The sequence below is a fragment of the Homo sapiens genome, chromosome 2, assembly GCF_000001405.40.
Source record: "Homo sapiens chromosome 2, GRCh38.p14 Primary Assembly".
NCBI lineage: Eukaryota > Metazoa > Chordata > Mammalia > Primates > Hominidae > Homo > Homo sapiens.
In genome coordinates, this window is record NC_000002.12 from 106,527,799 (window position 1) to 106,544,581 (window position 16,783).

The window sequence follows — 16,783 nt, forward strand, 5'->3', positions numbered from 1 at the left end:
AAAACAAAAAACAAACAAACAAACAAACAAAAAGACAGCCCAGGACCCAGCCTCGCAGGGAGGAGAGAACCACCCAACTGTAAAAGTGGGGGACCATCCTCCACACCCCCTCTCTGCTGAAAGCTGTTTCATGGCTCAATGCAATTATTTTCTGCTTTCCTTACCTTTCAATGTCCAGCATATCCTCATTCTTTTTGGGTGAGGTATAAGAGCTCAAGGACCGCTAAACGTGGGTACAAGCTATAATTCAGGTGAGCAGGGCTGGCCGGGCATCACCGACTGGGGGGCCCCTGGCTTGCAAAGTGACTGAGAAGAAAAATCCTGCATAAATATTGAACATATTTTAATGTGCTTATTAGCCTTGTGTATATTGACTTTGGAGAAATATCTCCTCAGATGCTTTGCCCATTAAAAATTGTGTTATGTGTCTTTTTATTGTCTTTATTGAGTTGTAAGAGTAGTTTAGAGTTATTGTGATTTTAGTATCATATTGAAGAAGATTGCCTAAACCAAGATAGTGAAGATCTATGTATTCCTCTAAGAGTTTATTTTGTTGTGTCATTGTTTTTTATTTCCTCATTTTTTTTTTAGTTGTAACTCATACAGTTAGTTCTATATCTACTTGGAGTTAACTTTTGTTTATGTTGTAAGGAAGAGTTGCAGCTACTTTCTTTTGTATGTGGTTATTCAGTTGTTCCAGCACCACTTATTGAAAAGAAATGTATATCCTTTTGCAAGGAGCAAGAGAGATCATTAGATGAGCTCAAAGGAGAATCTGCAGTCTGTTCAATGGAAATATGAGTAGAGATTTAAGAACAACTCGTACAATGAAAAAGAGAATAGCTCATGAATAATTAAAGTCTCTGTATTTTATTTTCTTTAGCTGTTGGTGAATATTTACTTTGTATCAATAAACTGTGTGGCAGACACTGTGGATTGTTTAGCTCAGCCTATTCCAGTTCCCTTCAGATGTTCAGCATCTTGGAAGGCATTGGAAATAGACTTTCCAATTTCATTTAGGTTCCACCAATAAAGTGCATTTGTGTAAGACTTTGGTTCGGAAATGGACCAAATGGGAGGAGATTCAGGGTAGGTTGTGGCAGAGACAGTACGATCCTGAAACCTGCAGCTGTAGGTGTAATTTCCCGTTTTCTCGACGAGTTTCCTGATATAGCGCCTTTCTGATCCTGGCAAGGGTAGAGTGATTTAGGACCTGGCAAGTGTGGAAGCAGCTCCTGAGCTCTGCAGCTTCTTGAGGGCGGCACAGGCAGCAGCTCCCTTGGAAATCTGGGTTTTGTGATGTGTTTCTGAGAGTGCTGGAAGTTTGCTCTCCAGTGATTCTACACATAATTTACAAATGTCTTTCTGCTTAAATTAGCTAAAGAAGACTCTGTTATCTGCGATTAAGTAAACTGATAAATGGAGTAAATTTAATAGAAGTGGCCGCAGGAAAGACTCCAAAGGGAAAGGGAATCTGGGGCTGGCTCTCCAGCCTGGATGGGTTTGAAAGCAGAGAGGGACCAGTTGCCCTTTAGAAGATGGAGCATTGGTTGTTCTTAGTTGTCCTTGGTATCCCCTTAATGAGCATTTCTCATCTGTAACTGATAAGATAGGACCCATTCTCAGACCTATCTCAAGTACCATATGCCCAGAAATGGTAAGTTTCCTCCAGTGTGCAGCCAGCTGTGAGAGAGGATGTCTTTGATGTCCAGATGCCTTCTCTCTCACTCTCCAAGTTAATCTACCACCTGCCCTGGAAATTCTACTTCTTTAATGCTTCTTAAATCCATCCATTTTCCTTTATCTCCATTACAATATTTTTGTCCAAGTCACTACTGTTTTCACCTAGGCTACTAACATGGCCTTCTGGCTGACACTGGATACCAAGCTTGCCACAAGGGACATGTCAGTGGTGCCTTTGAACTGGAAGTTGGGACTGACACCTAGCTCCATGCATCACAGGTGAACAGGCTCAAAAGAAGATTCCCACACTGGCTGGGGTGGGTGATCCTGATCACTGAGGGAGCTCTGTCTTTGCCATCACACAGGGCAAGCAGCGATGAGGTTTCCTGGAACTCAAGGATCCTCAGTGTGCTTTCCAGTACTGCAGGTGTAGCAGTCAAAGTTAGTGAAAAACCATAGCAAAACCACATAAGTGGGACTACGAAGTACTCATACCCTTGAGAATGAAGGATCAGGTCATCCCACCTGATGGAGAAGTTTCACCCGCTGAGAAAGTGAACACAACTGGAATGGGTTGTAGGAACAGAAGGTAGTGGATGCCAGCATGGCTCTGCTGCCGGTATGAGGACTGCAGCAGTTACCTGAAGTTCAGTCCCTTCCTATTGTATAAAGTGCACATTTCAGTATTGTAACTAAGTGGCACTCCTGTGAAGGACGGATCCCAGAACTAGAGGAGATCTTGAGGGCGCAAACCTTGAACAGTCCCAGAAATCGAAGGAGGGCTTTGAAATTCCATAGGCCTTGACAATGAGCTACTTTAGCCAATTTAACTTAAATTTTGAGGAACAGGGAGGGAGGTTTTGCCTAACATTGTGAGAAGCGTGTGAACCAGGAGCAACTCCAGCTTTTTTGTTTTGGAGATGGAGTCTCGCTGTCGCCCAGGCTGGACTGCAGTGGCGCGATCTCGGCTCACTGCAAGCTCCGCCTCCCGGGTTCACGCCATTCTCCCGCCTCAGCCTCCTGAGTAGCTGGGACTACAGGCGCCCGCTACCACGCCAGGCTAATTTTTTTGTATTTTTAGTAGAGATGGGGTTTCACCCTGTTAGCCAGGATGGTCTTGATCTCCTGACCTCGTGATCCACCCAGCTCGGCCTCCCAAAGTGCTTGAATAGGGGCTAGGTAAGATGGGGCTGAGACCTGCTAGGCTGCATTCCCAGATGGTTAAGGCATCTAAGTCACAGGATGAGATGGGAGGTTGGCACAAGACACAGGTCATAAAGACCTTGCTGATAAAACAGGTTGCAGTGAAGAAACAGCTAAATCTCACGAAACCCAAGAAGGCGGTGAGAGTGACCTCTGGTCATCCTCATTGCCACACTCCCACCAGCTCCTTGACAGTTTACAAATGCCATGGCAATGTCAGGAAGGTACCCTAGATGGGCTAAAAAGGGGAGGCATGAATAATCTACCCCTTGTTTAGCATATAATCAAGAAATAACTATAAAAATAGGAAACCAGTAGCCCTCGGGGCTGCACTGTCTATGGAGTAACCATTGTTTATTCCTTTACTTCCTTAATAAACTTGCTTTCACTTTACCCTACTGACTCACCCTAAATTATTTCTTTCGTGAAATCCAAAAACCCTCTCTTGAGGTCTGAATCAGGACCCCTTTCCTGTAACAACATCTAAAGGATCAAGTAGCAGAATTTGCTCTGCTCTTCAGACTAGGTTTTGGGAGTCATCCAGAAAGTGATTTAGCTCATGACACTCAGACATAGTAGATACCGTCCCCCAAATCTGAAGAGATACTCTCAGTGTTGGGTCCCCTTTTTAGTGGTAGTGGGAACTAGGTACACCACTTGCTTTTCCTTTTCCTTTGGGCAATAATCCAATTGCCCCAAATTCTGAAACATCAGACGCTGAAACGGGCAGGTGCCTCTATTTTTGTTGCACTTATTTTCTGTCCTCTATCACACGAGTTCTCGAGTTCTATCCAAGATGTCCTGGAACCTACTATTTCTTGCTCTAAGGGTCCTAGCCAGGATGCTGCCCCTGCAGGGGGCCAGGATGATGTCCTGCAGGCTGAGTCCCTAGGGCCATGTGAGCCTCTCAAGCCTGGTTAGGTCATGGGGTGGGAAATGTATGGGATTCACTATTAGATTGCCCCAGCTACTTTCCCTCTGATGGTCACTGCTGCACCCTGGCTCTTCTCTTCAGTGCGATCCTGAAGCCTCTCCCATGGGCATTCCAGTCCAGTGAGAACAGCCAGCACAGATTCTTTAAAGTGTCCTGCACTTTCTTCCCCAACCTTTTCCTCAAGGTCTACATGAAGGGAACCTCTCTGGGGAGCAGAGTGTGTGTGTGGGTAGAACAAACAAGCTACATCCAGCCCAGCATTCCAGTCTCCCCAGGCCTTTGATTTCCCTCATTTTCGTTATAGCAAGGAATGCATGGCCTTTTGAAGTCATTTGCCGCAGGCCAGCTTTCAGCCTAGGTCTGCATCCGCCATCCCAGCAAAGTAACAGATCTCCAGCCAGCTGTGCATATTGCACACCCAACCGCCCTCTTGATAAATGCAACCATAGCACAGATTCAGCTCAGTCTAACATTTTGTTCCAGCACAGTTAGCTGAGCCCTGTCAAAATCCACTTCCACAAATATTTCCCGGAGTTTGTATGTGTAAAAAGCACATTTCTGTATCTCCTTTGAATCTTTAGTAGAATCCCATTACGACTGGTTGTTGGAGGGGAGGATTCAATGGCCATGACCTTGATAGGCTTTGGAGCTCTGGTTCCTGATTTTTTGGAAGCCAATTGTCCAGTTCTGTAAACTTCAAGGTATTCTCTTTACACATTTTTTTTTCTATTAAAGCGAGCTAGAATCCTAGCAAATACAGATATTGGTGTTACTGGAAAGGAGTCCGGATCCAGACCCCAAGAGAGGACTTTTGGATCTTGCTCAAGAAAGAATTTGGGGCGAGTCCATATAGTAAAGTGAAAGCAAGCTTATTAAGAAAGTAATGGAATAAAAGAATGGCTGCTCCATAGGCAGAGTAGCCCCAAGGGCTGCCAGTTGCCCATTTTTATGGTTATTTCTTGATTATATGCTAAACAAGGGGTGGATTATTCATGAGTTTTCTGCAAAAGGGGTGGGCAATTCCTGGAACTGAGAATTCCTTCCATTTTTAGACCATATAGGGTAACTTCCTGGCATTGCCATGGCATCTGTAAACTATCATGGCACTCGTGGTAGTGTAGCAGTGAGGTCGACCAGAGGTCACTCTCATCGCCATCTTGGTTTTTGTGGGCTTTGGCTGGCTTCTTTACTGCAATCTGTTTTACCAGCAAGATCTTTATGACCTGTGTCTTGTGCTGACCTCCTATCTCATTCTTTGACTTTGAATGTCTAACCTCCTGGGAATGCAGCCCAGCAGGTCTCAGCCTTATTTTACCCAGACCCTATTCAAGATGGAGTTGTTCTGGTTCAAACACCTCTGACATTGGCACCAGAGAATAAGCTGCTGAACGTGGATTTTCAGAGAGACAAGGAGTGGCAATACTTGGAACTAGTAATTGGCCCAAAATGAGAAAAAGGATGGGAGGGTCTTAATTGTTCTCCAAGATGTGAAGCAGGCCCATGCTGGGGGTCGAGGCAACACAGCTAGTTAAATGTGCACCTGTGGTCCCAGGGGACAGGAATGCCACAGAGGGCAGAATCCGGGGGCACCAGGGCTTCTGATTGCAGATGGATAGGGCTCAGGTCATCTGGGCAGCACTTGCTCTAACATCATGGAGAGACTCAAATTCCAAACATCTTTAAAGGAACAGGACGAAACTCAGAGCCCTTTTGCAGCCACTGGCTAGGGAGCAGACCAGGATTTAAAACTAAGTAAAGGGATTGATTCTGAATATTAAAAGCAGTTGAGTTCACAGTTGTGTGCAGTCCCTTTTGTAAACGTTGGTGATGACGAGGAAAGAGTTGAACTGTGAAATCCTATGCCTCAGAGACCCCGTGCTACACAGGGTCTCTTGCCTAAGGAGTGTGTCTCCTGGGCCAGAGGAGCTGTAGCTGTTTATCCTGTCCATCCCCTCCTTACTGCACAGCTAAAACAAGGATCTCAGCTCAGCTTGGCCTGGAGAAGCAAGGAACAGGGGAGGGTGGAAGGATGAGCAGATAAAATGCTAAAATAGTACACAGAAAAGAAGAATTAAAGCTGGAAAGGAAATGGAGACCTTTTAGTTGTCTGAAATCTGATTGGCTTAGCCCAGGTAAGTCCTACCCTTGGTTGAATGGGAGAGTTCCTCGGCAAACAGCTGACCTGAGCCACAGTAGGAGGGAGAAGGGATGTTCCCCAAAGGAAAGGCTTCTCAGGGAAGCAGCACTGGGAAGTTTGCCACAGGTGGACATTGGGCACCTGACCCTGATATGGCCAATTCCCAGGCTTCTTGGGATCCATCATTAAGAATGTGTACAAGGAATTACAGCTAATCTTCACTGAGCACTTACTATGTGGCAAGCCTCCTGCTGGGAGTCCTACATAAATTTTCACATGGAACTTCATAAAAACTCAGGTGTAGGTACAGTTACAAATCCCAGTCTGCAGAGCAGGAACCACTGTGGGTGGAGCGAGGCCTGGGCAGTGGGTCTCCCCAGCACCCCAACCTTACAAGAGCTACGTTAGCTAGGATGACCAGACTCATGCTCCCCAGCCTTCACTGGAGCAGATAGGAAAGTCATGCAGTCATTGGTTAGAAGGGAACAAAATGGATATGCAGAGAAAAGCAAGGAAGAGGCGGGGAGAGAGAGGGAGAGAGTTGTTGGTCCATAGAACAACTTAAGGTCCTGAGGAAGAACTAAGTTCTAGTGCACTTACAGCCTTAAAATAAATTAGCCCTCTGAAAGAAAAAGATCCGATGCCAACAACAACAACAACACAACAACAACAATAACAAATTGCTTCTGACTGAAGGTGACTCCATAGAATTTTGTTCATTGTAACAGAAGAAGCAAACGGAGGGGTGATAATGCATTAGGCTGTTGTCAATATTCACAACCTCAGGAGAGGGACTTGATCTGATTGCTGAACTGGTGAATTTGACAGAAGGGGGATGGCAAGCCCAGGGGAACGCCGGGTTCCCAGGGACCAGAGCTAGCCCTTTTGATGACTTAGGAAACAGCAGCTAGGAAGGCTGCTCGGAGGTGCTGCTGTCTTCCGGGCTGATTGTCGCAGGGGTCTAGTGTTTCAACATTATAAAAGCTCCCTGGGGAGGTAGGAGCTACAGTTCAAAACACTGGAAGAGAATATATATTTTTAAAATTGAGAAACATTTTTGAGACCTAATGTTTGTTTGTTTGAAACAGAGTCTTGCTTTTTTGCCCAGACTGGAGTGCAGTTGTGAGATCTTGGCTCACTGCAACCTCCTCCGCCTTCTGGGTTCAAGCGATTCTCTTGCCTCAGCCTCCTGAGTAGCTGGGATTACAGGCATGTGCCACCTTGCCCGGCTAATTTTTGTATTTTTAGTAGAGATGCAGTTTCACCATGTTGGCCAGGCTGGTCTCAAATTCCTGACCCCAAGTGATCCACCTGCCTCAGCCTCCCAAAGTGCTGGGATTACAGGTATGAGCCACCATACCCGGCCAAGACCTAATGTTTTGCATATAATGTCCCAACGGTACCTTTTGGAAAAATCCATGGCTTCCTCCCTCTCTTCCTCTCCATGTGTGTTACTCACAGTCCCAGATGTTTCTCTAGGGACAGTCGTTTGGGGGCATGTCAGACACTGCAACAAGAGCACACTTAAGATCTAAATTTCCAGGCTGCAGACACTCATTTCCAGGCCAATGCCACATAGACCAAGGTTGTTTGCTGAGGTCCAGGGCTGCCATCACCTGAGAGAAAACATCAATATTAAAAACATAGAGTTAAGGCTAAACAGAAATAGTCTACTATGCAAAGAAGGTCCTTGTGTAGGAAATTGAAGGTGTTTGCCCATGTGATGGATGAGGCTCCTACCAGCTTTTACATACTTTTTAATCAGAACAGTAAGGCAAGTTTATAAAATAGAGAAAACATCACCCGTAATTCCATCACCGTAATACAATTTTAAAAATTCTTGTGTGTTCCTTTGTTCCCACGCTTGGGTATACATCTTACCCAGTTGCATAAAGCCCTTCTACTTTTCTCTACTCAACAGGGGAGCTGGACATTTTTCCATGTTGTTATTTGCTAGTTGTCATTCTGTAAATCCCAGCTCTAACATTCTAAAGCTTGTAAGAGATTTTATTCACCAGATTCCAGCTAATGGTTTATATATTAGTCCATTCTTGCACTGCTATAAATACCTGAGGCTGGGCAACTTATTAAAAAGAAAAAAGAGGGTTAATGGGCTGACAGTTCTGCAGGCTGTGCAGGAAGCATAGAGGCTTCTGCTCTGCTCCTGGGGAGACCTGAGGAAGTTTTCAATAATGGTGGAAGGCACGCAGGGGAGGCAGGTATGTCTTACATGGCCAGAGTAGCAAGAGAGAGAAGAGGCAGGTGCCACACACACTTTTTTTTTTTTTTTTTTTTTGAGACAGAGTTTTGCTCTTGCTGCCCAGGCTGGAGTGCAAGGGTGCAATCTCAGCTCATCACAACCTCTGCCTCCAGGGTTCAAGCGATTCTCCTGCCTCAGCCTCCTGAGTAGCTGGGATTACAGGCAAGTGCCACTGTGCCTGGCTAATTTTGTATTTTTAGTAGACAGGGTTTCTCCATGTTGGTCAGGCTGGTCTCGAACTCCTGACTTCAGGTGATCCGCCTGCCTTGGCCTCCCAAAGTGCTGGGATTACAGCCATGAACCACTGCGCCTGGCCACCACACACTTTTAAACAACTAGATCTCCTGAGAACTCTGCTACAAGAACAGCAGCAAAGGGAGAAATCCACCCTCAAAATCCAATCACCTCCCACCAGGCCCTGCCTCCAACTTTGGGGATTAAATTTGACATGACATTTGGGCAGGGACACAGACCCAAACCATTTCAGCTTAGATATAGGTTGGTGGGAGAGGTTTCCCAAAACTTACTCCTAATGGACTTTAGATTCTTACTGTGACATGACTTTGCTGTATCAAGTATATTCAGCTTTGCTGTAGAGAACAATGAATAGATGAAAAGGGTGAAACTGAGAAGCATATTAAGCACAGAGGGTAGGCGAGCTGCCAGCTCATGAGGTGCAGGTGCATCTCAAAGGGTGTGTTACGGTAAGGAAATGAGTGAGAAGTGGCTTGTGAAGTAAGGGCAGATTCATCAATGTGTTCAATGGTGAGTTAATTATGGGTGTGATGTGTTGAAGACAGAAGTCTTACATGGAATATATGATGGCGCAAATAGTGTTACTGATCATGCCCTCACTGGACTGACAGCTCTGTTACCCCTGCATCAGCCCAGAGCATGCCAATCAAACTGTGGCTGTCCAGCAGGCTAACTGGCGACCTGCAGCTATAGCCAGTGCAGTACGTCTCTCAGAAGAACAAGTTGCTGTGTTTCTCCAATAGGACACATCTGTGCTGTTGGCTCTAGGTGCCCTTTGTCTGTGAGGCCCTGATCCAACTCCAAATCTGGTCTTCGTCACCACCCCATCAGCAGGGAAAACCGATGTGGGAGAGGAAGACAGGACATGTGAATATGGTGCTAACCAGGCCTCATGCTCTGGGCTTCCCCCCAAATGCTGCCCTGCTATTAACCTGCCCCGTCTCTCACCCCTCACTTCCCTATGTGTGTTTTAAACACATTTAATAAACCATGGGCTCATCACAAGGTCATCAGATGATGTCATACCCTGGAGACAACTTTCATTTCCCTAAACTTGCACTTCCCTAGTAGTCCTAGTGAAGCTCTTCAGTTTCAGAGTTTACATTTCCTTGTATGACCACAAGCTTGAACTTCCACTGAGGAGGCAGAAAATTATGGTTCAACGCCACCAAGACACGACATCTTAAAAACAGCTTATCTTACTTAATTTTAAGTACAGTATGCACAGAAATCCCCAAATGAGGTTAAGAGAGGTGTGTGGCACACTTGCACAGATTTCTCATTTGAATCCACATATGCTTAAAATCTCTTTTTACTTGGTGTAGAGCTTGGTTCTATAAGTGCCCTTCAGCTCTCTAAACACCAGATTGTAGCTCCTTGTGGAATGCCCGAGGAAGCGACAAGGAATGAAAAGAAGAGCATGGCTGTTCTTACTGAAGTGGCGGTCGATTTCTAAAAGCCCTTGCAGAGGATTTCTGTTGTTGCCACCTCTAATTAGTACTGCTGGGATTAAACTTAATAGGTTCTGAAGATAAAGTTAGCACGAAGGAAAAACAAACACACTGACAAAGCACATTCAGAATCAGCCGTGGGACAGCCGTCACGCCTGCTTGTTGCTAAGCTAGCTTCAGGCACCTCGCTTTGGAAATTAGCAGGGTAATGAATGTAAAATAAATGAGAAGTCTCTGTGAGGCTCCTTTTCTGACCTGCGCTGAGAGCTGGTGGATGCATGGCCCCAGAGGAGTCTCAAATGCTCAGTGATTGCGGAGGCCTGCGGACCTTCAGTGCTCAAAGTGTTTGCACGCATCTGGGTGTGCCCAGACAAAGCTGCTGGTCTAGGGAAGCGTAAGTCATCAGCTTGACTACCAAAGACCTTGCAAGCTTCCTCATGGTGGCACAAAACTAGCCAATATGACTCAATTCCCAAATAACACTTGCCAGTGATTTGAGAAACGGGAAAATACGGTATAGGCAGGGTGGTCAACTCAGGGGCTGAGGAAGGTTTAGGCTGTGAAGGGGAATTTTGAGATGGAGCCTTCAGCCTATGTAGGCTATGTATACATGAAGAATATTCATCTTGTTGCTTTTTGCTTGAAACGGTACACAAATGGCCTGCTTTTCTCTTTACTTGTTCTTAAAATTGATCAGAAGTAGCTTTCTTGGCTTGTTTCATAAGATCTTAGGACTTGAGCATCTACTATTAGCAGTGATTAAAATTTCCCCATGTTGTAATAAGGGTGACTGTGAATCTGTGTGGCACTTGAGATCTCACAAAGTGCATTTACCTTGGAAAATTCACCTTTGCGCTATCTAGAGCCGAGCAGTGTCCTGAGTAGGAATTCCTGTCTGTAACACCCTTCCCCACCTCCTACTCCCCAGATGTTCACCTGCATGTCACTATCTCTGGTAATAGCTGGCTTCCGTGTGTCCAGGCACTCCTGGGTCTTGGCCACATATTTTCAAAGGTCTGGCTCTTGGCATCTGTGCTGAGCTTGGACCCCTCCCTCTTCATATTATGCTCTCCACCCACCCACCCTTCCACACTGCCTCAAGGCTTCCCCTGGGGGCCTTCCTTGCCCTTCCTCATCAGGCCGGGCACTGCCATCTGAAACAGTCTCATATGCAGTGTGTCCCCCTCCCAGAGCTTGTGCACGGTGTGACTGTTTATCTGTGTGACTGCATGTGTGTGATCAGTAGCTCATGAACTAGTGACACATGAGGACTTCAGAGCCGGGTTCTTGCAGCTGGTGTGTGCTGGCTGAACTTCTGACTCTACCTGGTCACAGCGCAAGTGAACACGTGTTCACTTACACACCTTGGCCTCACTCATTTCAGGGCCAGGGCAGTGCCTGCCCCATGGAGTTGCTGTGTTGATGAGTGAGGCACATGAAGCACTTAGCAGAGTGCCTGGTGCCCCCACAGCACTCGGGGCCCATGTGTGGGTCTCACCTGTGTGCTGAGACCTCCTGTGTCTCTTCACCACTGTGTCTCCAGCAGGTATCACAGCACCTAGCACAGGGCAAGCTCCTTATAAATTTGTGAAATAAATGGATGAATAAGTGAGTTCAAGGGGAAATATATATATTGGTCCCAAAAGGCAAACATATTTATATTTCTAAAATTTAGAGAACTACTTTATGGAATTGAAGTAAAGATGTTTCTTGTTTCCACGCCAAAACATGGAAAGTTGATGTACTTGGGACACAATACCATGTGTGCGGTGTGCTCATCTTTTATTCTGAAGACAAATAAGGGGTCTTACTGTGGAATTAGGGGGCCACACGGGGCTGCAGCTTCTGGGCATCATTGCTCTTTGCTGCTTAATTCCAGCTTACAGGATGTTTCACACAAACACCAAAAACATTTTTAAGATGGACCATATCATATTTATCATTGTCTCTACAGTGTTTGGCTTCAATGCATCAAACTTCAAAATATGTGTTTGCTTGAATTCCAATTTCTTGACGGATACACGGCTTGGAAACCAAGCCTCCTTTGGCTGATAAAATAAGAACAGAATCTGACACTTAAAAAATTATTTAAGCTTTGCCAAGTGGGAAAAAAAAGTGTATTCTCCTACTGCTGAGCATCTTGGCTAACTTAATCACTGTTCCCGTCACTGAATCTCCCTTTTTTGTCATGGGACTTCCTGATCGTTAAATCTATTTCATAGTAAACATAAGTGAATTTTGGTTTATTGTTATTCTTGTTTACATTGAGAATTAATTTTGAGTGGAAATTATATACTTCATGTTATGTAGATGAAGTTAGGGTGGATGTTATATTCCAATAATTTTATGGCTTGAAAGAAATTCAATTTTGTTATGTGGAATGATTTCCTAAGAATGAAAAAAGAAAATGACAGCTTCAATGATCAAAGAAAGAATCATGCAGAGAATCGTTTATGTAGACCTCTCAAATTAAAAAAAATATCCAAGTATTACTGTTTCTTAATTATGTGGTCTCAAGATGAGTGTTGGAATAATTATGTTATTAGAAACTCAGCCTTTGTGAGAAATTCGTATTTTCATTATTTTATTTAAAAAGCTTTTCAACATTTCTTACTGCAAAGAAATGACAATTAGCCCTAGGAGACCAGCCCACCAAAGGCGCATTAATGTCAATCTCAAAACAGATAAAAATAGGACCAAGAATGAAGTCAACTGGCAGTACCACTCCCTCATTTAGCAAGTCGGCTTGTTGTTCTGGGTGAGCCAAGCAGGCAAACCCCCTGCTTTCAGGACTTTCACAGTCTTGAGGGGGAAAAAGTAAATCAAGCAAATAATCATCCAAATACTCCTTTTTTTTTTTTGAGATGGAGTCTTGTTCTGTCACCCAGGCTAGAGTGCAGTGACGCAATCTCAGCTCACTGCAACCTCTGCCTCCTGGGTTCCAGTGATTCTCCTGCCTCAGCCTCCTGAGTAGTTGGGATTACAGGCGCCTACCACCACGCCAGGCTAATTTTTCTATTTTTTGTAGAGATGGGGTTTCACCATCTTGGCCAGGCTGGTATCGAACTCCTGACCTTGTGAACCACCTGCCTCGGCCTCCCAAAGTGCTGGGATTACAGGCGCAAGCCACTGTGCCCGGCCCCAAATACTCTTATAACTACCTTTTGCAGTAAGTATTCAAAGTGACAACTAGCGGGTGTCTTGAAGGCATATCAGGGGAGCTTCATTCGGCTGGGGGAGTGGAGACAGCCTTTTGGGGAAAATGACCTTTAAGAGACTCAATGGTCCACAGGAGCCCAGCAGGAGGAGAGGGAATGAAGAGTTTTGCAGAGAGCTGGATGTGCAAGGGCCCTGTGGTGGGCAGGCTTGGTGGGCTGGGGCAGAGGAAGGCAGGCAGGTGTGGTTTGAGGTAGGCCACGGTGGCACGCTGGCTGTGTGACAAGGTCTGCAGCATGCCTGTTTGTATCTGTGTATCACTAGGACCTCCCACTAACTCTAGATCCCTCTCCGTCATTCATGCTCAAAATTGGTCAGTTTCTTCTCTCTTGTTGGTGGTTAGTGACCCCCTATGGAAGTAGGGCCACTCACTCCTGAATGTGAGGTCAAACGTCCTCTTCCCCCAAAACCAGATTATTTCCCTTTGGTTAGGGCAGTGGTATTCAACCAAGGGGCAGTTTTGCACCCCAGGGCACATTTGACAATGTCCAGGCACATTATTGGCTGTCAGAACTTGGGAAGGGGATGCTAGTGGCATCTAGCGGATATGTTGCTAAACATTGTGCAATGAACAGGACAGCTCCCACAACCAGCAATCACCTGGCCCAAAACGTCAAAGGTATGAGGTTGAGAAACCATTTTAGAATGCATTTTTCAAACCGTAAGATGCGACCTGTTAGTGGATTATGAAATCTCTCTCTATTAATGAAATAGAGACCATACAAGGTGGGAGTGCATTACATATTGTATGTATGTTTGCATTATATGAATGTCCACCACACATGCATGTATATTTCTGTATATTGAGTGGCATTGTGAAAGGCATTCTTTATTGCAGGTTGCAGTTTAAAAAGTTGGAAAGTCACTGGAATAGAGAACCTACCAACATATTTCATCCCTTCTATCCTTCCAACTCCACCACGAATCTGCCCTATCTTGGCAGAGCTGTATCCAGAGCCCAGGCATGGCTTCAACTACAGCCTCTGCCAGCCATCCCATTGCAGTGTAAGCTAGAGGTCAAGGCTGTTCACTCTCTGGCGGGACCACCGTTCCCCATGGCTCAGCCTTCACTCTACCTCCAGCCAACTTTTCCTTCTTCCAACTCTCCATAAACTTTGTCTTGACTGTTCCCTGTCTGATACGCCACTTGCCACTTTAACTGGTCAATTCTTACTTAACCTTTGAAGACAAACCTTCAGCCTCCCCTCCTCTGTAGATCCTCAGGGACTTCAGCCCTTGTAGAGTTCACGGTCTCCGTCTCTGTTGTCTGCACAGCATTTTGCGCATCCCTCTGATATAACAGTCATTATCTGGGGTTCACGGCTGGTCAGCTGTGGGCTCACTGCGGGCAGTAACTAGATCTGACTTCTCTTGCCATCTTTGGAAACTAAAAGAGTGACTTATACACATATGAGGTGCTCAAAGGCATTTGACTAATACAGTCATGAATAGAGATTGTTACTTAGAGTCCTTATATTACTAATTATTTTGTAAACTGAAATATATTTTTGTGAGGAAAAACTCTCAATATATATCCTGGATTTTCATTAATGTGCATTTTCTTCCACTTTCAAGTTAATTCTTTTTTTTTCCTGATTATTTAACAAATACATGCCTATTAAAGACAACTTTGGGTAGACCAGAAGGATGTAAAGAAATCCTTCCCCATGAAGGATATATATTATGTAATGTATAAAATAGGTTATATAAATATATAGGTATATATTATATATGAAGTATATATTATATATGAAATATATATTATATATGAAATATATATGAAACATACTATATATGAAATATATATGAAATACATACTATATATGAAGTATAAATAAATATAAAAGTATATACATTTTACATATGTATATGTACGTATGTGTGTATAAGTGAATACATGTGCGCCCATCATCCAGCCCCGGCTTATCAACTGAGCAGTGCCCCTAACATTTCCGTACGTTGCTCGGGGTCAGGCTAGACTCTGCTGCCCCCGTGTGTTCCAGCGCAGAACTGCATAAAGAAAGAGGAGCGCTCGGCCATGCCGCACAGGTCCGGGAGGTTCGCGTTAATGTACCCTGTTTTTGAGCCCAAGGAACAAGTATTTAGTCATGATTGCCACTCGTTATAGGCTCTGTTAACAGTGTAAAGAAAGTTGGAAGTTCTCTCCTGAGAAGAAGTAACTTCAATGCGGAAGGACCCGGGCTTCTCATGTTTCTCTTTGTATCCCGACCGCCGGGAACTGCCTTACCTGCAGCTACAAAGTCCTGCAAGTGAGGCTTAGGTATTTTCAAATAAAATATCAGGCTTGGCGGAGTGGCTCACGCTTGTAATCCCAGTACTTTGGGAGGCTGAGGCCTCCTGGGAAGATCGTTTGAACCCAGCAGTTCGAGACCAGCCTGGGCAATATAATAAGAACCCCTCTTTACAAAAAAATAAAATAAAATTAGCCGGTCGTGGTGGCACCCACCTATGGTCCCAGCTACTTGGGAGGCTGAGGATTGGAGGATTGCTTGAACCCGGAAGTTGAGGCTGCCGTGGGCCATGACTGCACTACTGCACTCCAGCCTGGGTAACAGGGCGAGACTCTGTCTCAATATAAATAAATTAATTAAACAAAATAAAGAATATAAAAGTAAAAAGAAACAAAATATCCAAAGCCAAGACTGCACCACTGCACTCCAGCCTGGGTAACAGGGCGAGACTCTGTCTCAATATAAATAAATTAATTAAACAAAATAAAGAATATAAAAGTAAAAAGAAACAAAATATCCAAAGCCTGTCAATCCATGATGTAAATATCAGGATCTTCTGAATTCCAGTAGCCCTGGACCATGGAGAACCCAGTGAAATTACTCTTATTGACTGGAGCTAGGGCTGTCTTAGTTGGACAGTTTATATTTCAAGCTTTCTATGAGTTTCACAGGTTCCATGAACTTGGATGGATTTCTGTGGATTTGTGCTTATACACTGAAAGTTTTGTGATGTACATTGCCCATCTTTTGCATCTGATTCGATTGTTCTTCTCTACTCATGAAAGTCCTATTTTTCTTCCAGACCCAGATCTTGTGAACTGTTTTCACATTTCCCCATGGATGCCTAGCAAGGGACTGGGACTGCCTGATCCGCTTTGGTCAAGAGCACGTGGGTGGCCTGTGTGCAGGCTTATCATCAATAATTGCAGGACTTGGTGGAGTATGGTTGAACAGGTGCTCAGACTGCATGCGTGTCTAGCGAGGCCATCCTGAAGCTGCATGGGAGTTGTAAAAAAGTTACCAACAAGTTTTTAGTTATTTGAATAGGTTTTTGAATAGATTTGGAATGTGGGAAGCAGTTGCAGAAATAAACGTCTTAATGACTAAATGTAGCTTGCTGTTTTTAGCCCAGTTTCACAGATCACAACTCTGACCATACTAGTGGGTAGTTTATGTGTCTTCTCATGCGGGGAGAGCCGTTCAACTCACTCCTGAGGCTTAGGCCCAGGTTGGAAGGGGACGGACTCCCAGCTGGGCTGTTGGGGTCTGGCCTCCTCTCAGCTTCCTCTGGAGGACAGACACAGCCCTTCCAGGCTACCTTTCCAGACACTGTCCAGTCGAATCCACTTTCTTACTCATGACCCGAAGCAAGCCACTTCAGCTTCTGATGTC

At 44.9% G+C, this 16,783-nt stretch overlaps 1 protein-coding gene across 1 annotated transcript in view; it reads left to right on the plus strand.

Annotated features, from left to right (window-relative positions):
- Positions 1-16,499, plus strand: part of CD8B2 (CD8B family member 2) — a 56,934-nt gene extending 40,435 nt beyond the window's left edge. Inside the window, exon 6 of the mRNA NM_001368307.2 lies at positions 16,194-16,499. Within this exon, the coding sequence (NP_001355236.1) occupies positions 16,194-16,239 (46 nt within the window). The 3' untranslated portion in view covers positions 16,240-16,499. The remainder of the gene's footprint in view (positions 1-16,193) is intronic.
- Positions 16,500-16,783: the final 284 nt, after the last annotated feature.